This window comes from Homo sapiens, chromosome 12 (assembly GCF_000001405.40).
Source record: "Homo sapiens chromosome 12, GRCh38.p14 Primary Assembly".
In the NCBI taxonomy this organism is placed as follows: domain Eukaryota; kingdom Metazoa; phylum Chordata; class Mammalia; order Primates; family Hominidae; genus Homo; species Homo sapiens.
In genome coordinates, this window is record NC_000012.12 from 46,448,309 (window position 1) to 46,471,969 (window position 23,661).

The 23,661-nt window shown below is 38.8% G+C and overlaps 2 long non-coding RNA genes across 7 annotated transcripts in view, besides 1 other annotated feature; one reads left to right on the plus strand and one right to left on the minus strand.

Moving 5' to 3' along the window:
- SLC38A4-AS1 (SLC38A4 antisense RNA 1) overlaps positions 1–23,661 on the plus strand; it is a 268,904-nt gene that overhangs the window by 64,633 nt on the left and 180,610 nt on the right. For 2 of the 5 annotated variants that reach the window (NR_125379.1, NR_125380.1), the window contains exon 3: positions 21,845–21,954. The exons of 2 other annotated variants lie outside the window; for them this stretch is intronic. This is a non-coding gene — a long non-coding RNA (SLC38A4 antisense RNA 1). Of the gene's footprint in view, positions 1–6,703; positions 6,834–21,844; positions 21,955–23,661 lie in introns of all 5 variants that reach the window. One more of the 5 variants, NR_125378.1, reaches the window with a different exon arrangement.
- LOC124902923 (uncharacterized) overlaps positions 1–23,661 on the minus strand; it is a 64,239-nt gene that overhangs the window by 18,077 nt on the left and 22,501 nt on the right. The window lies entirely within an intron of this gene.
- Positions 22,150–22,199: a silencer, noted in NCBI's record as "silent region_4388". NCBI's record gives its function as "represses an Ori minimal core promoter by ATAC-STARR-seq in GM12878 lymphoblastoid cells {active_cell/tissue: GM12878}" and the evidence as "EXISTENCE:reporter gene assay evidence [ECO:0000049][PMID:35858748]".

The window sequence follows — 23,661 nt, forward strand, 5'->3', positions numbered from 1 at the left end:
AATAAAGAGAGAGTAAGAGAGGGTGAATAAGATATAAGTCTCAGTCTTTCTGTAACATAATCTCAGAAGTAACTCTTTACATAATCCTATTTATTAGAGTTACTAAGTCCAGTCCATATTCTAGGGCAGGGAATCACACAAGGACATAGATACCGGGAAGAGAAGATCAGCAGGGGCAACCTCAGAAGCTGCTAGCACACCCATTTTCAAAGCAACAAATTAATTTAGAAAAGCAGTTACTTTCTTATTCACTATTAAAATGTTACCTTTACCTTGAAAAGACATTAAGCATATCCGTTTTTCTGAAAATATCTGCATAATCCTGGCAGCCACTAGTCATCACAGGAAAGGTTAGACAACTTGGGAGCCTTGTCTTTTGTAAAAGAAAAATGTGCAAGTCCACTTTTAGTTGGATAACTGTTAAGTATTTGCTTACAAAATAACTAGCCAACTAGTAAGGACAGTTAATTTGATACAATTAAGCCCTTTATAAAGTAGGTTCTTGGCAAGTCTTTTAAGTTCAATAAACTTTTTCATCAAACTTAAAAGACTTGCCAAGAACCTTCTTTATATATAAAGGGCTTAATTTTATCAAATTAACTATTGATAACATCCTCTAGCATGTAGAATGCAATTCATTCCAATATTCTGAGAGTGAAGAAATAAATGTGGATCCCCCCATCACCTCTCACTTGTGGGACCCTTTAAGAGTTCTTCCTTCAGGGAAACTCAGCTGGGTTAGGTGAGGGCATCAGTATCATTCCATACACTCAACATGCATACATTTAAATTACTTTCTAATTATTTTCTTTTTAGTTTTGCTAAAGAGTAGGAATATGGAAAAATCGGAATGCTAACATTGTTTTTCTATACCATATGTATCATCTGGTGCTTACCCCTTTGGAGACCTCTGCTCTAGGCCAAGGGTTCTTAACTCAGGATTTATTGCTTATGGGTGATTTGTTTTCAAGGGATGAAAAAAAGTGACCAAAGCTGTAATCAGATCTCCAAGAAACCATTAAGAACCACTGCTATAGGTAATGAATAGATAATGAAAAATGGTACAAAGGAGAACATGAAGGGATTTAAAGTTTAGGATGCTACTTGGGTGGCAGAATGGAGGGTGGCTTGGAGAGACCAATCCTGGAGGTAGGGCAGTGGGGTGTTCGCTCCCTCAGTGAGGCAAAAGGTGACAAGGGATTGAACCCAGGCATTGTGAGTGGGATGGAAAGGGGAAACTTGTGGCGCATAAAAGTCAGCATGTGCCACAGTGAAAGGCTGCAGGATCGTGAAGCCACTAAGCGGGTGTTCATAAAGGCAATTTATAAAGAAAACATGTCTACAAGAGGAAGTCAGATCTCAGATCTAAGACATTTCAGGTCTTCTGTCCCCACTTTTTTTTTTTAAACCACACTGTTCTTTCTTTTATTTTTTATTCTTTTGTTATTTTTTTCCCCTGGAGATTCAAGCTGAGAGAGAAAGGAGAGATTCAGTGACAAGTTATCAATATTTTCTAAAAGAAACCTAACCATTTAGTAATAGAAGAAGGGTGTTTGGAAAGAGGGGCTGTGGAATAATATTGGAGCCCCAAATAAATCTGTGATCTGCTAAACATCTTCTGGGTTAGAAAATAGAATTGATCTGAATTCCACAGTTGTGGCTTATTTAAGAAGGGTAAGACGTTTTAAAGTCCACCCTCTGCCACCCCCTCCCCCCGGCTTTCTTCTGGAATTTTGATTTCTTTCCTTCTATTGTGATGAGCATTGCTTTGGTTTTGTCTAGGCTGAGCTATGTCTCCTGATCAGTCTCCTGTTTCTGCTTATATCATAAAGGCACATTTCTGTAGTGCTTCATACCTTACCCAGCCTCTTCACATAGGCTTTCTTATTTAACCAGCTCCTTGGGCATTGCTCTAAGTGTCCAATTCAGCTGAAAATATCATCTGCATGGCATTGCTGTTACAGTGGATTCTCAAAGTTGTAGTTGTCATTTTTTGGAGGTTCAGATAAGAAGATGAGTGGGGCACAGGAGCAGTGCACTTCCCCCTTGAAGTAGTGTGGGGAAAGAAAAGAGGCAGCTCCATTTCAACAAGAGCCTCTTTCAGTCCTTGCATGGCCTCATGTTCCCTGACATGCTAACCAGTCCAGAAATAACAATGTCAGTGCAACTGGCCTTTCCCCACTGCTTCTGTAGAGGCTGATGTTGTTCCTGTGGCCCAGCCAGGGCACCATCCTAAAGAACACGGAGCCAGTGTGCTGTGGGAGTTGAGGCTGCTGTCAAAGTTGGCCAGTTCCTTTCCAGACACAGTCACTTCCCACTGGAAGTGAGCCAAGCTGGGGGATGGGCAGGGACAGGGTAGGTGTTCTGTACAAGATCTACCTTTCTAAGTGGCAAGAGGCATTGTGGATTGTTGCTATGAGATTTTGTTGACTGGTAAGATTTCTTTTATCAGTGGCAATAAAGTGAGACCTTATGCTGCAATTATTTCCAACCTGGTTGATTTTCTCTCTGTAGCAGAACTCCTGGCACATGGCTGCAGGTGTGTAGGTAACCCGAAGATATCTGACTCAGTGATCACTGTTTTTTGGGAAATGGAGAAAAAGAGCTCTTAGCTGGCTTCAGAGTCTGGTTTCAATCTTGTGTGGTGACTGTTGGGACTTATTTACTGGATATTTAATTTTTCATTTGAAAAACTATTGTAGAGGTCTATGAAGACGGTCCCTCCCTCCCTCCCTCCCTCCCTCCCTTCCTTCCTTCCTTCCTTCCTTCCTTTCTCCTGCTCTCCCTTCCTTGCTGGGAGAGAAGGGAGACATTCATTGATGAGTTACCAATATTTTCTAAAAATATCCAGTAATATATAGTAATAGAAGAAAAAGGGTGTTTGGAAAGAGGTGCTGTGGAATAATACTGGAGCCCTAAAAAATCTGTGGTTTGCTAAACATTTTCTGGGCTGGGAAATATAATTGATTTGAATTCTCAGCTGTGCCTTGTTTAAGAAGGGTGAGTTGTTTTTATGACTTTTTTCCTCCCTTTTTCTAGATCTATCTATCTTTCTCTCTGTGACTCTCAAAATTTGAGGTATAGTTCTCTTTTCCCTCCCTCCTTGTCTCTTTCTCTTTTTTTTTCTTTCTTTCTTTCTTTCTTTCTTTCCTTCCTTCCTTCCTTCCTTCCTTCCTTCCTTCCTTCCTTCCTTCCTTCCTTCTTTCTCTCTTTTTTTCTTTCTTTCCTTCTTCTCTCTTTCACATTAGGTAGAGCTGGACTGTAGTTTCCTCTCAGTGACATACTAATTGTGTGCCTTGAGGAAGTTGCTTCTCTTCTCTAAGCCCTTGTTTTCTCATCTGTAATGACATCTGCTTTATCATACAGTGATATTCATTAATCATCAAGGATTGGAAATGATGAGTAAAGCACTAGAATAGTGCCTGTCACATCAAACGAGCTCGCTAAATGAGAATTATTATTTTCCTATATAAATTTCACCGATGTGGCCTGCAGTGACTTTGTAGAGGAGCAAATCAAGGTTTCTGAAAGGGATATGTGTGAGTGTCATGACTGTAGTAAGAAGAACAGCCAAGTTAGTCAACAAATGTTTATAAAAGTATCCATTGACAACATGGTGCTGTTGTATTAAACGCTGTACAAAAAGCAAAAATATAAACTTTCTAGTTATTAAAAACTTGCCGTCATATGTGGCAAGACATGGTAACAAAAACATTTAGAATTAAAAAAATAAGTATTTCTGTAATTTTCTAGATCCTCTTCTTATAATTTTTAATAATTTTTAAAGAATCCTGTCATTCCTAGATGTCTCTAACCTTTCAGAGATCTCTATGGGGCCAATAATTCACTTCTGGACCTTTGAAGTTATATGTTGGGGTTTGGCTTTGGAACATTCTCATTCCCATTCGTGATAACCGTGAACAGAAAGCTGACTCATTACCTGATGAATACAGATAAACAAGTAATGGGGAGAGAATGCAATATAATTCACATCTGCCTTAATAAATCAGTTTTATTTAACTCTTTGGTTTGCTCTGACTGTGTGAGTACTGCAGTGTTCTGGAGGAATTTGCAAATCCCCTCACCTTTGCTCTCTGCTCTTAGAGGGTTACTTTCCCTGTTATCTCCTGACATCCCTGCTTTGTTATTTCTTTTCAAACCTGAAGCCACCTCTCTGTTCATCACCCACTGCCCTTCAGAACTCTTCCCTTGAAGTCTTTCCAAACAGGTGCTGTCCTGCTTCATTTCTGACCAACATTCTACTAACTCTTGTTTCTTATAGATGTTCTCCCTCCTGAACACTAACGTGCCTGTCTTTATATAGCCCTAACTGCCTTTATGTTTCCATGTTCACTACTTGGTGTTTACCAGTATTTATTCTCCCTCCTCCAGGAGAGCTTGTGAGGGTAAGGATCCCGTGTTGCTTTTTAATGTAATGCCCTACATTGTTATAAGTTAAATGAATTATAAAGACAATGGATAAAGGGCATATCTAGGAAAGCTCTCAGTATACTTTTTTGTTTTTTAGTGTAGCAGTTTTCATCTTAGTCTGATAATCTTACTATTAATAAAAACTTATTAGGCAAAGGTTCCAAATTATATCTTGCAGGAACGTGTACAAGTTTGGACTGGTGGATGACTGATTGACTCTGAAGAATTAAATAGCAGTGGTTTACTGAGATAGCCTGAGAAATTGAGAGAGAGAGATTGAGAGATACTAAGTCCTGCTGCAGGCAGAACCCATTAAGTGAGGCATTCCTGGGCCCCTTGTAACTTACCAATAACTCTCCCCATTTGTGTGGTACAGATGGCAGGAAGGTGAGGACTCTAGGCTATCTGATGGGAGAATGAAGAAAAGGGACCACAAGTACTCCTCCCTCTGTCAGCCTCATGTCAGCCAGTAGTAGTGGTAATTACCACCATTGCTGAGCCCCTTACTAGAGTAATAGCAGTATAGTAATAGTATAGTCCAGACACTATGGTATTTTAAGAAAATAAAGGCTATCACATTTAATCCTCACAAACCACCTCTGAAAAATTTTCACAAAATTTTATACAAGAGAACACAGAAGCTCAAGGTCACACCATTAGTAAAGCATAGAGTCAGGCTGTGTGTCCAGGTCTGTCCAATCTTAAAGCCTGTGCTAAGTCTTGTCCTCACCTATTTACCTGTTTATTTTGACTATTTTTGTTGTTGTTGTTGTGTTTCCTTTGGGAAGGGGGAGGATGGAATCTTACATTTTTTTGACTTATATCCGGGACTTAGCATGTTAGGTGTGTTCTCAGTACATTTTTGCTGAGTGAATGGGCGAGTCCAGTCCAGTTGCTCTATGATGGAATGTGGAACTGAGCAGTGTGGTGTCTGGGAAAGGGCCATGTTGAGGAGGTAGGAAGGAGGCCTAGGTCCTAGTTCATTCTCTCTTACTAACACATGATCTTGGGCAAGTCACATACATTCTGTGGGCTTCAGAGTGTTACCTGTGAAACATAAGGGGGCTGAAGAACAACGTAATTTCTCCAGTGCCTGATTCTTGTGAGGCATGGAGAAAAGGCCACTAGATCGCTTCAAACATGTGTTACAGAAAAGAGGCCGATTTCATGCTTGGGATCAGGAATTCTGCTCTCTCTTTTTATCTTAGAAACCTATATTTGTGATTTATGATAAACTCTTTGATTTTCCTGTGCCATTCCTCCCATTTGCTGATGAAGATAGAGCAATCCCTGCATCCTTCCTGGCTATTTCATGATCTTAAAGTTTTATAGAAGACAAAAATTTAGTAATAATGTAGCAATAATATGATTAAGCACAATAATCATAAAAAAGACCACAAATATTATCTAATGAAAACTCAGCCTCCTCTTCCTTCAGCTTCCTCTTCCTCAACTAGAGAAATGCTGAATTGGGATAGCATTTAATGTTCTGGTTTAAAGACAGGTATTTTAATATCATGTAAATATCAGTGCTTATTGCAGTTGAAGAAAAGTATCAAGAAAATAACAGATTATTCAGACTTAGACTGATATGCTACACAATTACCCCAAGTCTACATTTTAACTGATTTCGCTGATGATTCCTACATTGAAATAATTTTCAATCACAAAATTACTCTTGTTTCTTAAAGTGAATTATTTTGTGAGAGGCTAGATTTCAGATATATATATATATATGGCTATGTATGTGTCTGTGTGTATATACATATATACATGTTTATACATATACAGATATACATAGATACATTTATTTAAAGTTAATCCTCTATAAGTCAGCCAACATAATGTTAATAACATAAACACACACACACATATATATGAATATTATTAACACTATGTTGGCTGACTTATAAAGGGTTGACTTTAAGCAAATTGAGTGTTGAACTTGATGGCCTTGACCATCTCTTGGATTTTTCCTGGGCTCATAATGATCAGAATATACATATTCCAGAAATAAAAATGTCCTTAGGGAATGACATGAAACCTTTAACACGAGTGACCCGTGGAAATGTTGATTATTGATGCCTTCCAGGTGCAGGAGGAAGAGAGACAATCTGCCAAGTGCCACATTCCGACATTAGTAGGTTTTTATGAGGGAGAAAGCAGGTAGAGAGCTGTCGAGTCACTAACACAAGGCCACACAAATGGCAAGTGGCAAGGATGAAATGAAGGCCCAGGTCCTTTGAGCTTCTTCTTCTTTTTTTTCTTTTAGACACAGAGTTTCATTCTGTCACCCAGGCTGGAGTGCAGATGCAGTGGCATGATGATAGTGCACTACAACTTGGAACTCCTGGGCTCAAGCCATCTTCCCTCCACTGCCTCCAAGTAGCTGGGGACTACAGGTGAACACCATCCTGCCTGGCTTTGAGCTTCTCTTTAACTACTTGCTCTCTCTACCACACGCTGACATGGTTTCCTGTTTCTATAAGAGCTGACAACCCTTTCTTGGATTTGCAAGGTTAAGATAGAGCATAACAGAACTTTGCCCACTGCTTAAATAGTTATTAAGTGGGACTATCACTTCATCCACTGATGGGAGATGGTAGGAAAGGGGTGATGCTTTTGAGAAGCTAAGTAGGGTGAAAAGCTGTGCTGGAAGAAATTGGTTTCTGGCATTATATTCAGGAATATAGCAATTTATTTGCAAAACAAGTGTTAGTGGGGTGTCGTAGAGGGCAGGGATGAGAGAACTTAAGGGTTGGATTTTCTCTCAAAGGTGCTTCGTTTGGCTGAAGCCTGTTTCCTCCCAGATAATTTTAGTATTGGACAGGCTCGTGATGGATATATTTCCAGGTGTCTACTTTAGAGATCTATGTAGAGATCTACTCTTTTTCCTCCAACATGTTCTGAAGTTCTCCAGTCTATCAGACCAGCATTCTTTCTGCTGCAATTTAAGCTTACTTCCTCTCCTACTTCTGTTTAAACTGATAACCTTGCCCAACACTGGTTAATCCCAAGAAAGATATTGGGACAAAGGTATCTATTGGAACACTCTCTTTTGGCTTAGTTGTCTTCATAATTCCTCTTGTAGGTGACTGGTTATCTTGATCTCTCCCACAATTGGTTTGGAAGCCTGCTCAGCAGCCCCTGTCACTCAACTCTCAAAGATCACTTTTGTTTTCAAGCAAATACTAAAACAGGTGGAACCTGCCACCAGTAATATGACCCACTGAGTAGAGAAGGTGACTCAGTCTTGGCAGCTCAAGTCAGGCTTGGGAGAGGTGACTGTGGGAATCCAAATGAACGGCTTATTTCCAAAGAATGTGCAAAATTCCAGTGTCAAAAATGTGAACAATTCAGTGCAACTGGACACACCTGACACACCTCTGCAGTCTTCCTCACACAAAGCCACCTGCTCTAAGTCAGCTTCAGGAGAATCTTGTTTTCTAGCACCCACAGGAGCAGTTCCTACAACTCAAGGGAGAGTTCAGATGGAAGGAGTGTTTGCTCCAAGGCTTGATATGCAGCTCAGAGTTGGAAGAAGAGTTTCCAGTGAAGCCCATGATGAAAGTTGATTATGAAACACTGATGTTTCTCACTTTTTTTACACTTTCATTTTGCTGACCTGTTATCAGTAATTTACGTGTTCCTCAGTGTCAAAAAACATGAATAGTTCTTATAGCCTTGCTTCCCTCTCTTCCAAGTCTCAGAGCTTCTGCTGGGTCAGGTTAACCCAAGCTCAAAAAAATCTTGGAGTTTTTCCAGGTAGTCAGTTCTTTCTGCTCAGCTGCCACCATGACTTCTTAAATTTATATAAAGGAAGAATAATCTAGTGGGGAAAAACTTGGCTGTATTAAGAGAAGACATGAGTTTGAAGCCAAGTTTCATTAAGTTGATAATTATGTGACTTTATCTCCTTTGAGAAAGCTGCTTTGTCTCCTAGTACATCTGGTTTTAATTTTGTATGATACAGATAAGATACTGGTCACATGGTGATGTACAAGGATGCTCTGAAAATGAAATAAGGCATACTAAGCTCCAAGACTCTTTTGATATAAATCCTACATAAAGTCAGCAGATTGAGGTTATCATTATAATGATGTAAGTGGTTGTAAATGCTCACCAAGGCTTAACTACATAAACACAGGGAAGAGGAAGAGAGACTTTTTTTTAGTTAAAAAGAATAAGTGGCCAACACCCCAACCCCCTTTTTTTATTTTTACGGTGTGTGTACATTAACATTTCTAAATTACTCAATTCCTTCTTGTGAAGGTTTTGCTAAAACCTGTAAGTTTAGACTATCTGGTGAAAAATCATATCCTCTTGTTATTGATGTTTTAAAACTTTTAAGTATTTTGACCTAAATGCTAAAGAACAAAGTCAATTGTTCAACTAAAAAGGCAGAATGTAAATATTTATTTGGCTTAGGTACTCTCGGAGCATCTATTTTCACAATCAAAATACTTCCTCCCAAATATTTGAGAAAGAGTTATAATATGGCTCTTTGAAAAGCGTGGGAAATTAAGGATGAAATAAAAACGTGACTATAGACTTCCTCAATTTTGAATAAGATTTCAGTGAGGGTCTCTTATGATTGGATGTTGATTTTATTAGCTTTTTATGTGACTTCATACTGCTTACTTTTGAAAAACGTTAATTGCATTTAATAGAGACATGGTTTACAGTGAATTAAGTGAAATATTGAAAAACAATTCTTAGAAAATAAAAAAATGTTGCTTTCCATTTTATTCCTTTTTTATTTATTTATTCCCAGGCTCTGCAGATTAATTTAAGTTTCATAATTTTGTTTGCTTTCATAATTTTGTTTGTTACATATTCTTTTTTATTTGGAGACGGATTCTCACTCTGTTGCCCAGGCTGGAGTGCAGTGGTGCGATCTCTGCTCACTGCAACCTCTGCCTCCCCGGTTCAAGCAATTCTCCTGCCTCAACCTCCTGAGTAGCTGGGACTACAGGCACATGCCACCATGCCCAACTAATTTTTTGTATTTTAGTAGAGATGGGGTTTCACCATGTTGCCCAGGCTGGTCTTGAACTCCTAAGCTCAGGCAGTCCACCTGCCTCGGCCTCCCAAAGTGCTAGGATTACAGTTGTGAGCCACCGCGCCCAGCCACTAGTTATTCACTTTCTTGTTTGAACTTTTGATCGTTTATTCCTTTACTCGGCTGCCCATTCATTTGTTAATACACTTATGAAATATTCAATGACCTAATAATTTGTGCCAGTCGCTGTTCTAGCGACAATTACATTTCATTAATTTAAAGGCATATATTTTCATTTAGGTGTATTTCTTTTATATTTGGCAAACTAATTTGTTTTGAAGCACATTGTAAACACTAGAAAGAAATTGATGACTTAGTGTGGTAATAAGGGAATGTCTACAGTTCAGGTTTTTGACCAGGTCAGGGCAACAGCAGTAATGATAACAGCTTACACCAACAGAACCCTACCATGTACCAGGTGCTATTCCAAGTGCTTTTCATGAATAAATGAGTTGAATCCTTAAAATAACTGAAGATTAAAATAAGAGAGGAGGAAACTGAAGTAGATGCCTCACTTTAAGTGATGCTGTTAAAGTTACAGAGCCTAATAAATGCTGGTGCCAAAAGGACAATATTACAAATCTCAAAGTGTTTTTCTGAGGATTAAAATAAAAAAGTCATGCAACGTGTTTATATCTCAATAATCATTAGGGAAAAACCCCCAGATCATAGAATAATTGTTTTTGTGATTGCACCAAGTGACTCATTTAAAATGCAGTCTCTAGGGTGGACTTAACTCTGTCACCTACTAGCTGTGTGACCCTTCAAAAATTGTTTTACTTCTCTGTGCCTCAGTTTCCCATCTGTAAAATGAGCATAATTCCTGCACTATCTAAGTAGGTAACTATGAGGCTCTAGTCTAGGAGATAGGTTCATGACAGTGTGTCGCAGGCCATGAAGAACTCTGGGAGTGTAGGAATTTTGCAGCAGTGTCTTTTTTTTAACGGTCCTACCTGCTGGTAGGACACCCCCCTTTTAAAAAAAATGCGTAGTCTAAATAGTACACAAATCAACTTTTACCTCATTAGCATTTTTTTTTCCATTAAACACTTCTGGATTCTTGGTAATTCTTTTGTAAACCACTTCCTCCTGTTGAAATCTTGAACTAATTTTGATATAGAAACTAGCTGTTGGGGTGATAGTACATGAGCCAGTTTATTAAAATCATCACCTGGTCTTTGGAGAATGGTGGTCTCTTCTGATTCTTTGTCCTGGATTACAACTCCCTCTTGTCACCTACCCTCATCATAGAAACTCATCTTTAAATACTCTTAATTGACCACATCTCTCTATTCTGTAATTCTAGTTTGCAGAATAAGCTCTCCTAGATATATCATCTGATGACTATTCCAGTTTGCTGTGCTTTCTATTTTTCACATCTTGTGTTATTTGAAGACGTTTATATTTACCTAATCCCCCTAGCAGCCCCAGGGGAAAGCAGGATGCCATGAGGCTCCGAGCACGCTGACTGTCTACATTCATTGGTCAGAAGGAACAATATTCACTCCTCTTTGGTTTTCACACAAGTCACTACTTTCTTGACTCAACCACACATCCCTTCCTTTGTTATGCTTGTATTTGAGTCATTGCTCCTGCTGATAACCAAATGCTGTTTTGCCATGTTCTTTTCTTTTTTCTACTCTTTGGAAAGTCTAACGACTTGCTCCTTTTCTGTCCCCTACAGAGAGGGCAATGGCTCATGCCTGTAATCTCAACATGTTGGGAGGCTGAGGTGGGCAGATCACATAAGGCAACAAGATCGAGACCAGCCTGGCAAAACTCCATCTCTATTAAAAATACAAAAATTAGCTGGGCATGGTGGCGTGCACCTGTGGTTCCGGCTACTTGGGAGGCTGAGGCAGGAGAATCGCTTGAACCCGGCAAGTGGAGGTTACAGTGAGCTGGGATCGCTCTACTACACTTCAGCTTGGGTGACAGAACAAGACTGTGTCTCAAAAAAAAAAGTAAAAACTAATATTAAGTTGACCTATTACTGTGGATTTAACTAGTACAGTTAGTGTGTTTTCTATGCAGGAGGGGGATGGAGGAGGGAGGAAAGCAGCTGTTATTATAAAACTGTAGTATATGTTTTAAAAACAGTTATAATTTTTATCTTTTTTCTATTCTTAGAAGCAATACGTCTCACACTTCAGGGCTAAAATGTACTTCTCTTCCTCTTCTAAAATCCTGGATACAAATCCTTGGTCTTAAGTTCTCTTTTCCATTCCAGGACACTTTCTAGCCAAAAGTGGAGGTTGCGTTGATCAGGAAGGGTTAGGCAACCTTTGTTGTTGAAGGACAATTTTGATGGAAGGATCCTGTCCCAGTCCCTCCCCTCCCCTCTTCTTCCTCTTCCTCCCCCTTATGATTTGCTGAGCTCTTCAAACACTTTGTCCCTGGGATCACCCTCGCCTCTGGGATGGAGCGCTCCATTGTGGCACCCTTATACCTTGCAAGTGCCTTCAGCAGTGCTTCCGTCAGCCTTGGAGGGTATAATCTGGAGCTGGAGGTTTCTAAGCAGTCAGGCTGCTGTGAGCATGATGTTTTGGTGTGTTTGCACCAGCTTCCTGTTGCAGAGTTTGGGAAGTGAATCTGGTAACTGCCTGAACAGAAACACTTCCCCTTACTTTCTACATCAAAGAGAAGTTATGAAGTTACCTGACATTGGTGTCACTTTTTAGGAGTAAGGACAAAGCATTGTGTTTTAAGGAGACTACATAAATAGGGAAAGGACCTCAGCTTCAGCTAAAAGAGGTCACACAATTTCTTTTAGCCTCAGTTTCCTCTTATGTAAGATGAAGTGATACTATGCCCCTTGCATGGTTGTTATGAGAAGGCAATGAGATAATTTAAATGAAGTGCCAGGTACCTTGCGGGGGGCACTTAATAAGTGGTAGCCATTTCTGTTATGGAGAATAGGTTCTGTTTTGTATAAGTGTTGTGGACTATGTCTTCTGAAGTTTGTTTTGTGAGTTGCAGTCATGTGATTCATATTTCCAGTATAGCCCCTGTACACTGTGTAGGTGTTTATACCCACTTTTGCCAGTGGAGTGAGAGCTCCTGCAGGAAAGAGAGGCATGGTGTGCTTGCTTATCTACGTGCTGGGGTAGAGAGGCATGGAAGGAAGGGCCAAAGAGCTCAGGCTGGAGCTAGGCTGTCTGAGTTTAAATGCTGCTGCTAAGTTAGTAGCTGTGTAAACTCAGGCAAGTTACTCAGCTTCTCTGTGTTTCAGTTTCGTCATCTGTAGAATAGAGACACTACTGTATACTACCTCATAGAGAGGTTGTAAGAATCAAATGAAAAAATTCACAGATATATGTAAAAGGCTTAAAACAGCATCTGGCTCAGGGTATACTGTTACTATGTACAGCATACATCAGACTCACTGTATGGTGAGTGCTCCCTAAATGCAAGCTTGCAAATGAGTGGGAAGTAGAGCATCCCTCTTTCTCTGTGTTCTATAGGGATCCCAAATAGAGGTGTGAACTACACGTGCTTATAAGAGATAGAATATCAAGTAGAATTTAGATTCCTGTATATGGGAGAACATTCCTCTTCTGCTGGACTCTGTTTCTGCTGCACCCTTGATTTCCCTCCCGTTTGGTATTCCCAGGGTTCCTGTTCATATCTCTTTGGTCATATCTCCTGGTCATATCTCTGGTGGTCAGTTCTGTGGGGACAGCACTATGTCCAACTTGTTTAATGTTATATCAGTAACTCCTAGCCTCTGGCATGATAGATTCTAAAAGCATGTTTAACAAATGATACATGGAACACTAGAAAGTGCTATTGAATGTAAGCAGTTTCCAAGAGACACTATTTGTGCACTTAGTAAGGTCAGTACACTGGGCCAGGGCGGGGACAGGAATACGTGAGAACACAAGTGTAGTGGGAACATACTGTTAATTTACAACCACAGGAAAAAAACAAATATGCAGGGTCATAAGCCTTGATTTAGAAAATAGTCCCATTATATATAGTGGTAACCCCAAACCTCGGTATTTAGTTTAGGGTAGAATCTGGGAAGAGAAATTGAACGGGAGATTCAGCCCGGAGGAATCACATGATAAAGACTGACTAAATATTGTAAATTTTTCTCAGAGCAAACTTTTATAATGCATGTTTCTCAAATATTAATTGATGGTCTAGTGTCTAAAAGAAATAAGCCCAGGAAGGCTATGCCATTGTATTTTTAGAAGTACTTAAGTGACCTCTAGCCACTCTAACAACTCCTTGAGAGTTATGGCAATATCCAGGATGTTTTGTGTCTTTGTCAGGCATATGATATATTACTGTCTGCCTGGCCCAGTGTCTTTTAAGGAATTCTGTGGATCAAGTGTCAGGCCATGGCAGGAGACTTGTTCTAAAACAATCATCAGCCTGGTTGAAACAACATAAAAAAAAGTTTCTAAGTTTACTATGAGTGTTGTTCATTGCACCTCACTGCAAAGCTATTTTCCTTTGCATCTTGCAGTTGTTTTCATGGTGGCAACTCCTGCAAAGCATATATGACACCCGACAAAGGATGTCATGGCAGGTTGAGTGTTCTATCTGTAAGCCTTTCTAATTTAGCAGTAAAATTTTAAAGCAAAGCCCAGAAAATCCTTGTTGATGTTTGACTCTATGCCCATTAAAGTCTTTTATGCCCCCAAAGAATTGAGATCTTCAGATAAAATGTGAAGTGCAGCACAAACGAAAACACGTTTGTCAAGTATTAAAACATGCTGGGACTTGGAGGCGTTGCAAGACCTTTTACAAACTGCATATAGTTTTATAAATTTAACAAATGACATGAAATTTTATCTTTATAAGTGAAACTCCCAATTCTTGTTTTTCTTTCTCAACTGGAGGCAACTAGAAAAAGAAAGACTATTTTTGCTTTAGGATTGGATTTATTTTAGGGCTATTTGTTGATTTTTGGATGTATTACAAGCCCTGGTGGGAGAGGGAAGTTCTGGAGCCAGAAGGACCAAGTTTTTTATTCTGCCTTTGGCATCAATCAGGCACATACACTGGGGCAAGTCTCTTAACTTTCTGATGGTCAGTTCCTCATCTGAAAAAGGAGTAACATACCTACCTCACATGGTAGTGTCCAGCACATACTGGGCAACATTAATTTTAAAATCTGAATTTAGGTTGCTTTTTAAACATACATATCGGTGGAAAGAAAACTGGGCTTAAGCCAGAAAACCAGTCTTTGTCCTGCTGCTTCTTAGTTTTCAACAAATTAACTCAGAAACAGAAATTTAGAACTGAAGGGATTTGGAGGGAGCCCAGCCCTCTTGACTTTCAAATAACAAAACTGAGGACCAGAAAAATGATAAGCCTTGCTTAAGGCCATGCAAGCTAGTGACAGGGCATTGAACATAAACCAGCAGTCAGGGTGCCAGGTCCCAGCCTTCTTCAGTCCTACGGCCCTGTCTTTTGGTAAAAAGCTACACAGATTTGTTATGATTTAATCACGTTTGTTTCCAGTGTCAACCTAATTTGATATTCTTAGTGCCAAAAAGACTTCTTCAGACTAAAAGAACAAAATGACAACCATGACTATTTGACCAGAAGAGAATTATAGAGCAGAGGATCTTAGAGTTCTGACATAGCTCAGAAAGTTAAAGATCAGGACGGTGACTATCGGCCTGGACTGATGCATGGACATGCAGTGTCAGAACTCCTCAAAGATTCTCAATCTTTCCCCCCCATATCACAGCTGACTTATTCTGATGGGAAAATAGAAAGGTACCTCTTTGAGGGAAAAGCACATGTATTACATATTGTTTGAAACCTCCACAGGGGCTTGTACAGTGCTTAGCACCCCATTGATTTCTTTAAATGCCTTCTAAATAGTATGGACAATGAAAAACTACTACTAGAATTTTCAGTATAGGGTATTGATGGGATTTACAAACTGAATGCACCTGTGCAATCAGCACCCTGATGTATACATACAGAACATTATCAGCATTCCAGAAGCCTCCTCCATGCCCCCAGCAGGGGTACCTCAATCCTTGCTTCTAACAGCATAGATGAGCTTTCTCCTGTTTGTCTACATTTTGTACAAATGGAATGATACAACAGGTACTCGTTGCTTTTGGATTCTTTTGGGAAATATTCAGATGTTGCTTTGGATCCACAGGAAGTAGGATTCCAAATTGGGGGCCCTCAGTGGAGGACAAAAGCATTTTGCATATTGCAGTTTCATTTTAATGATGGAAAGTGGTATCAATATAGCAGTTGATTAGTAAGAGTGTGTAGGTGTAATTAGGTTAAAACTTGTTCTTATTGCCAAGATCAAGATTTTTGTACCTTAAATGATTCACTACATTTTACAGCAAAGTATAATTTTAGTTAGGCAAATTGATGTAAATAATACAAAATTGAGGAGAGTGAAAAATAAAACCCTTTCCCTTGTGTGCTTTCCTTTGAAATTGTTTTTAAGCAAATTTTTATTTTTTATGGAATGTTCAGAAAAGAATGATAAATTTTCTAAATAAATAATCCAAATAAAAAGAAACTCTGAATGATGAACCCAGATCATTCTGTCTTCATTATCTTTATATTCCTATTATACAACTAAATGTCTGACACATAGTATGCATTCAATAAATGATGACTGCTAGAATAAGTGAATGATTACGTTAAAACATGATGACAAACAAAGACATCACAACTTTTTCTAGAGAATATGTACCAGCAGAGTAAACAGCAATACTGGGAGACTTAACACTCTGTACATAAATGAAGACCATTTGGAAGCAGTTTTGCTTTTCAGATTTGGAGTCATGCAGTTGTAATCCTCCAATTCTCATGGTGGAAGAGGTTGCTAATTATGTCTCAGTGTCCCTTTTCTTCTTCTTTTAGTAATAGAATTCCTGACTATTAGCAAGGCACATGGCTACTTGACTAGATATAATATTTCACAGCATCCTTTGGAGCAACAAGACTAAGTCCTTGTCAATGGAAAGTGACAAGAAGTAATGTAGGCATTTTCTGGATTTTACTTTTAAAAAACAATTTCTGCTGGCTGGGAAATGATAACAATAGAACAGCTGAAGAGAGTCCATAAATGAGTCCCATATCTGTAGTAGAGTCTCTGCTCACCTCTGGATTGTTAGGTAAGAGAGAAACAAATTTCTATGTTATGAAGACATGATACTTTGGGGTGGGGGTGGGGGTCTTTTTTTTAAAGAAGACCTTAGCGTATACCCTAATTAATATAGAAATTTGAACCAGAAGTGGGGCGTTGCCATAACAAAAAGCTAAATTTTGTGTCATTGAATAGCAACAGGCAGAGGGTGACATGGGCATGAAATTTGATCTAGAAACATTGGTAATACTTGTTATTCTGTGATACGTAATTTGCTAAAACAGTTGCCTATCATAACTTGGAAGACATGCCATACACCTGCTGACCTTTAGCTCAGTGAGAAAAACTTTGCATATAGATATATATTGGCTAGTCCTCACTACTTTTAACAATGTATTATAAGAAGCAATGGAAGTTATGGAATTATTAGCCAGCAAGCAAAGATAGAAGAGAATATAGCTCTGATAAGGGAGGTTCTTATTACCTATGGCTTGTAATCTAATGTGCTTGAAAGATTCAGTCATGCAGAGTTGGAAAATCTGTTTGTATTGCAAACAGCAGTAGATAAGTTTGATGATGGTGGCCTTTTCCATGTGCCTTCTGTTAAGTATTCAACTGCCAACTATTCAGTGCCTTCAGTTAGCTGGACAATTGAAGCCAGTCCAGAGCAAAGATTACACTGAAGATGCTGCCTTCCTGTTTCACATGGTTGCCACTAAAGTTAGCCAACATTAAATGAAAGGAAAGAGAGACAGGCTGAGCACAGAGACCAGTAGATAAAAGAGAAGACTTGGCTTAAAAACTGTGACCAGGGACAAACTTTGGCTATTCTGACTTTCACATAGAAGCCAATAGATTAGAATCCTACTCAAAGATAGGGGTGACTGTGGTGTTTATTTGCAAAAAGAAGTGTGTACATAGATATTGGGAGGAGGGGTAGACATGGCAGAAGTGGATAATTTACCCTAGTAACCATTCTTGCTTTCTTTATCTAACAAAATGCACCCCCCACCCACCTAGTTTTAGCAGGATGCATGGTTACCTACCTAGTGACTATATTCTCTTAGCCTTCTTTGTGACTAGGGATTGCTCTGTGACTCAGTTATAGCCAGTAGTACATGAATGGGAGTTTTTTTTAAGTATTGGAACATCATTGGGTATTTATTCCACTTCCCTTTCTGCAACTGGCTGAGAAATAGCAAACAATTGGAGTTGCCTTGGGCCAAAGAGAGATGTTGCATATTGATGACAATACAGCCACTCCACGTCTGTGATACCACCCACTTCTGTATTGTTACATAAAGAAGCATAAATTTCTGTCTTATTTAAGCCACTCTATTTTTTGAGTGTCTTTGTTTCAGCAGCTTAACTGTAGTCTAATGAGCATATAGGCTTCTGCACACTCTCAGGTTCAATATAAGAAAAGATAAACAACTTTAAGTATTTGAAACGGAAAGATATTTTACAAAACTGGCCGACCAGGGGAGCTACCAACTCTGAGACCAGCAATGGAGCTATGCCAGGGTCAAGAACCTAATGCTGCTACTATTGTTGCCATGGCTTCTGAACACTGGGTCCTGGGACGTGGTGCTAGGAGCCTTACCCTGTTTGTCAGCAGAAATAGCCAAGAAGGGATAGGAAGGTGGTGTCTGCCTTCTATATCTTCATGCCACACTTGTGTGTATCCACCTTTTGGGACCCAAATTCCTTCCAGGACTCTAGCTGCAGGGAGATCTTGAAAATGTTGTTTTTGTCTTTGCAACCTCACCAGTGAGAATGAATGGAAATTGAGTGAACAAATCCATAGTTCCAGCACTCATCTCATCGTTAAATGGAGGTGGTATGTTACCCACTTCAAAGGGCTACTGGAAGAATTAGATGAGATTTAATAAATGGGAAGTACATATATATGTTTGGTACATATTAAAAATTAAAAAAATACAGATACTATATTATAATATCATTTAGTTACTTAAAATATCATGCCTGTTTGCCACATTCTTGTCTCTTTCACAAAAATGATTGGCTGGCTAGGGACTGTTAAGTTTGATAAGAATCGCTTTTTCTGTATAATAATATAAAAGTAGCAACATCTCTATTATTACAAAAACTACCACTTGAAGGTAAATTTTTTTTTTTTTGTGAATGCTAAATAAAGGAAGTGAGAGCCCTCCATGGTTTAACAATAGAGGAGTAAGACTAGAGAAAGCAGCAGGGGTGCAATCATTTTTACCATCTTCAAGAATCAGCATTCTGTTTTGGAACAATGGAAATCTATGGAAGGATATTAAGTTGGGGAGAGGCATTATCAGATTTGCCTTTCAGGAAGCTGTCTCTGGTGAAATGGAGAATACATTAGAGGAGGGATGGTTAGTGGGCAGTTGCAGTAATTTAGGCAAGCAATGGTGGTAGCTTAGACCACAGGAGCAGTGGCTCTGGGAGGGGAGACAAGCAGTTTGGGAGGTGTTCTCAGCAGAACTTGGTGATTGCTACCTCTGAATCCCGTCAAGGAAACTTTGGAGTAATAGAAAAATTTATGTTTCTCAATTAATATGTGCACAATGTCTGTAGGTGCCTTTGGATACTTATTACCTGGTATGAATGAAAAGCCTGATTCTGATTCATACAATTAAATGAGAATAAAGGAAGATGATGTCGTCATCTTTTGTTGGTTTACAACTATGAAGGAAGGAAATATTTTATAAAGTTTTCTATGAACTGGGACCAAAGTTATTTAATGTCTGAGTGTGAAAGGCTTTGAAAGCATAATTATGCTGCACTGTTAAGTGTTAGTGACCAAAGTGTTGATAAATTGCTTCATGTTAAATGACCAGACATTTTAATGATTTAGACATTTTACTCAGGCTACCCTCACAAGATACCTTGCACAGGGAGGCCCCATGTTAAAGTATAGAGAACGATCTGGCTGCATATACTGCAGATAATCTTCCTAGAGCCTCATTTCACCAATCTGTTTGGATCTTCAGTCAAGGGTAACAGCATTATGATAGTATTCTTATGGTTCCTTTTTTTTTTTGGAGATGGAGTCTCGCTCTGTCACCAGGCTGGAGTGCAGTGGTGTGATCTCGGCTCACTGCAACCTCCGCCTCCCGGGTTCAATCAATTTTCCTGCCTCGGCCTCCTGAGTAGCTGGGACTACAGGCGTGCGCCACTATGCTCAGCTAATTTTTGTATTTTTAGTAGAGACAGGGTTTCATCATGTTGGCCAGGATGGTCTTGATCTCTTGACCTCGTGATCCACCCGCCTTGGCCTCCCAAAGTGCTAGGATTACAGGTGTGAGCCACTGTGCCCGGCCTCTTACGGTTTCTTTTAAGTGGAGTGGATTATAAAGTGTGGCATACCCTGTTTTAAAATGGGTGATGTCTAAAGTAATTATAGGACATTGCAAAACTACAGGGATAGATATCAACTCAAGTGAAAAGAAGCTGTTCAGTTCCGTAGCAAAGAGTTCCTGTCATCTCTATCCCCACGTCACTGGTGGCGAATGTTGGCATTGCTGGTATCATTACAGGTAAAAGGTCAGTCACATTCCAACTTCCTTAGTCTTTAGTATTTCCTGTGCAGACTAAAAATATACTGGGAGAAAGTTGGCTGAGTTCAAAGGGTAGGAGAAATCTATTTCGTCCTGAGGAGCAGTGGCTGCACTTTTTTCAGTGTTTAATAGTGGAACATTAAAATAAATGAAATTATTTAAACAACTCCAGACTGTTTAATTCAATTAAAAAGCATTCATTGGATTTTTGCTTATGAAGATGTTCCTGATTCTTTTCTGCCTGCTCTGATAATCTAAGAGTTGATTTCCATCCTCCCAATCCTTCTTGAATCTAGCAAAAAAAGTACAATTAAGAATAAATCTGGGTCTTTGAAAGAGTATCTTTTTAGCTGTTACAATTTTTAGAAGGTTAATTGTTAAATATGTCATTTGTCTGTAAGTGTGGCTAGTAATTTTACCAATTTTATTTATTTACTATATATTTATTGAATGCCTACTACGTATAGGACTCTCTTGAGCAGTCAAAGTTTTTCAAGGACGTACTCTGCTGAGGACAAATTTTTCTAAATTCTCACAGTCCCTATTTTACATATAGGGAAACCGACTGTTCTCTAGTCAGGAAAAAATGAGTTACCCTTGGTGACAGAGGGATCACCTGATCAGAGATCCACGGATGAGCCAGATGAGTTGTTTCTCAATCTACCCCTCTTCATTAATTTTCATGTCATGTGTGATTACATGACTTAGAATAATGTAAAATAGCCACAACACATAAAATATTATTTTAAATAGGTATTCTTAAATAATTTTAAATAGGTATTCTTAAATAATTTGACAATAATCTTATGCTTTGCCAAGTCTTTAAAAAAATACAAGTTTAGATTAGATTCTTTAAAATAATATGCAAAGAAATAAGAGATATAATTTAAAAAGGCAAGCTTATTTCTAAAGATTTTCAACTTTTTGTGTGTTGTTATTAACAATGAATAGTTTATTAAAGTTTTTAAGGAATCTATTTCCAGCTTAAAATCATAGAAAAAACAAGTAGGAGAATTCAGGAGTGTGATTCAGAGTTGCTTAAAGAGCATGCTAAAAGTCAACTTTTTTATTCCTTAGACTTGATATTCACAACACATTTCCTTAAATGTCAGCATTTTAGTTCAATTTATTTTTTCCATTCATAGTTTATTTTTCTTTTCAATTGCAAAGTAATACATGTCCAGTCTCATGATATAAAAATGGATAATATAAAGTATGTAGAATAGAAAACACCATAATAGCAACCCCCCGTCTCCCCCATCTTTCTACCAATTCCACCTGGGAACTCTTTATTGTTTATAGTTTGGGGAGTACCTTTCCAAGGCTTTTGTCTGAATTTGCAAGTAATTCTATTTCTAAAATGCGACTGCATTTTGTGAAGAGAATACTGCATACCCTCATCCCACTTTCATGAGAAAGACCCTGCAGGTGAAATAAAGAGTGGAAGGTAAGAGCAAATTCATATTGGATTAAATAAAATCTCCTCAGGTCACTTTTGTTTCTGGGATTAGCTTTAGAGTATTCTCATTGTCTGCATTGTCTGCTATGGGCTGAATTGTGTCTCTCCAAAATTCATATGTTGAACCCCTAACCCACAATGAAACTGAATTTGGAGATAGAGCCTATAAAGTAATGATTAAGGTTAAATGAGGTTATAAAGGTGGGGTCCTGACATGAGTGCTTGAGCTCTCTCACGCTTTCTCTTACACAAAGGTCATGTGAGCACACAGCATAAAGGCAGCTGCCCACAAGCCAGGAAGAGAAGCATCATCAGAAACCGACCATACTGGCTTCCTGATCTCAGACTTTCAGCCTCCAGAATGGTGAGAAATAAATTTCTGTTGGTTAAGTCACCCAGTCTGTATTTTGTTATGGCAGCCCAAGGTGACAAATATTGTTTCTCCTTGATGGCTGTGCATTTGGAGGGAGCCTCTGTGAGCCCTGACTTTCCTCTAGGAGCAGGTTGGGTAGGAAAGTAACATCGACCAGCTGAGTGTAGTTCATACAGATGTGGACCAGACAGGGCGTGAAAGGTGGAAGGAGAGGACTGGTCCCAAAGGCCAAACACCAAGACTGAAAGGCAAGCTTAGGAGAAATCGACACTGTTAGGAGGAATTGACAAAGTAAATCTTATGACAAATTTCAAAATTAAAAAATTTAAAAACCCTAATAGAAATAAAACGTCTCATTTGGATAATGTTTTAAATCTTCTAAGTGCTTTTCTATCTGTCTTCTCATTGGATCCTCAGATTAACGTTTGAAGTTAGAGTTTATAATTATTATTTATCTAAGCTTGTCAGATGAAGAAACTAAGAGCCTAATAATTTAATTAAATGACTTGCGTAAGTTTTAACAGCTAATTTGCAACAGAGTAAATCTTATGAAAATTTCAAAATTAAAATATTGTCATAATAATGCAGAAAGTCTATTTTGGGAAGGCTGGCCAAAATTATAATGGAAATTTTTTTTATTTAAAGGGGCCCTTATTAATTTGCAAGGCTTTGCTATGGTTACCCACATGCTAAAAACTCCCACATGTCCATCCCCCTCTGACTTCGGTGAGCTCCAGGCTCATATACCCAGTGCTTATTTGAAGCTCCTCTTGTATTCCTCATAGGCATCATAAATGGAATGCAGAGTTAGCCAGGACTGAAGAACCCTCAAAAAAGGCTGTGGAAGAGTCCCCTTGCTATTGCACTTCCCCTGATTCTTCTGACCCCAACCCTGGGCATGGTCACCATGGCTCATAGACATGAGTCACTGAGTGTATAGGTGTGGATCTGAGGGATTTTGGATTGGTTTCCAAGCTTGTTTATAGATTTGACTTCATAATGGTGATTTGTGTTTATTTCAGTGCTTGAGTCAGGAGGTTTGCCTGACATCCTGAAGACCAAGGTCTTCTCTGTGGAGAACTATCTAGCACATGTGACAGCTCTGAGAGTGTTTTTAAGAACAGGTTGATGTGTATGCTCTGTATTAATTTTTTTTTATAGATTTGAGGGTGTGTAGTCATCCATGCTCTTTTTGATCTTTGGATCTTTTGCTGCATTCTTAGTTAAGTTTGTAATCTACATTAATGGCAACAGAAGGGTAAACTGACTAAGAGGGTTATTACACACTGGTTTGTATTGCCAAGGGAGGCAGCACAATCCATTTTCCTGACGGTTTTGGCACGATCCTTCCTGGCACCTCAGAGATGGGCAATGTGATGTTATATACACTCTTGTGCTTGGTTATTAATCTGGGTGTTTTGGATGAACATAAAGTAAAACATGCAGGGAACCATTAATGTATTGTATGGGGAGGTGAGGTGGTAAATCATATCTCAGCTTCTCATCCATAGTGATTCATTGGGAACATTTTTCCCCATGCTTGGTTCCATGAGCAAATGAATGAAATTTCAGTCTCATGAAGATTTCCACCCATGAGCAAAATTTTATTAATTTTTTGCCTGTTCCAAATTACAAATTAGCTTTATTATTCTTGTTACTATTCAAATAGAACACCATACAATACATTCAGTTTCTCTA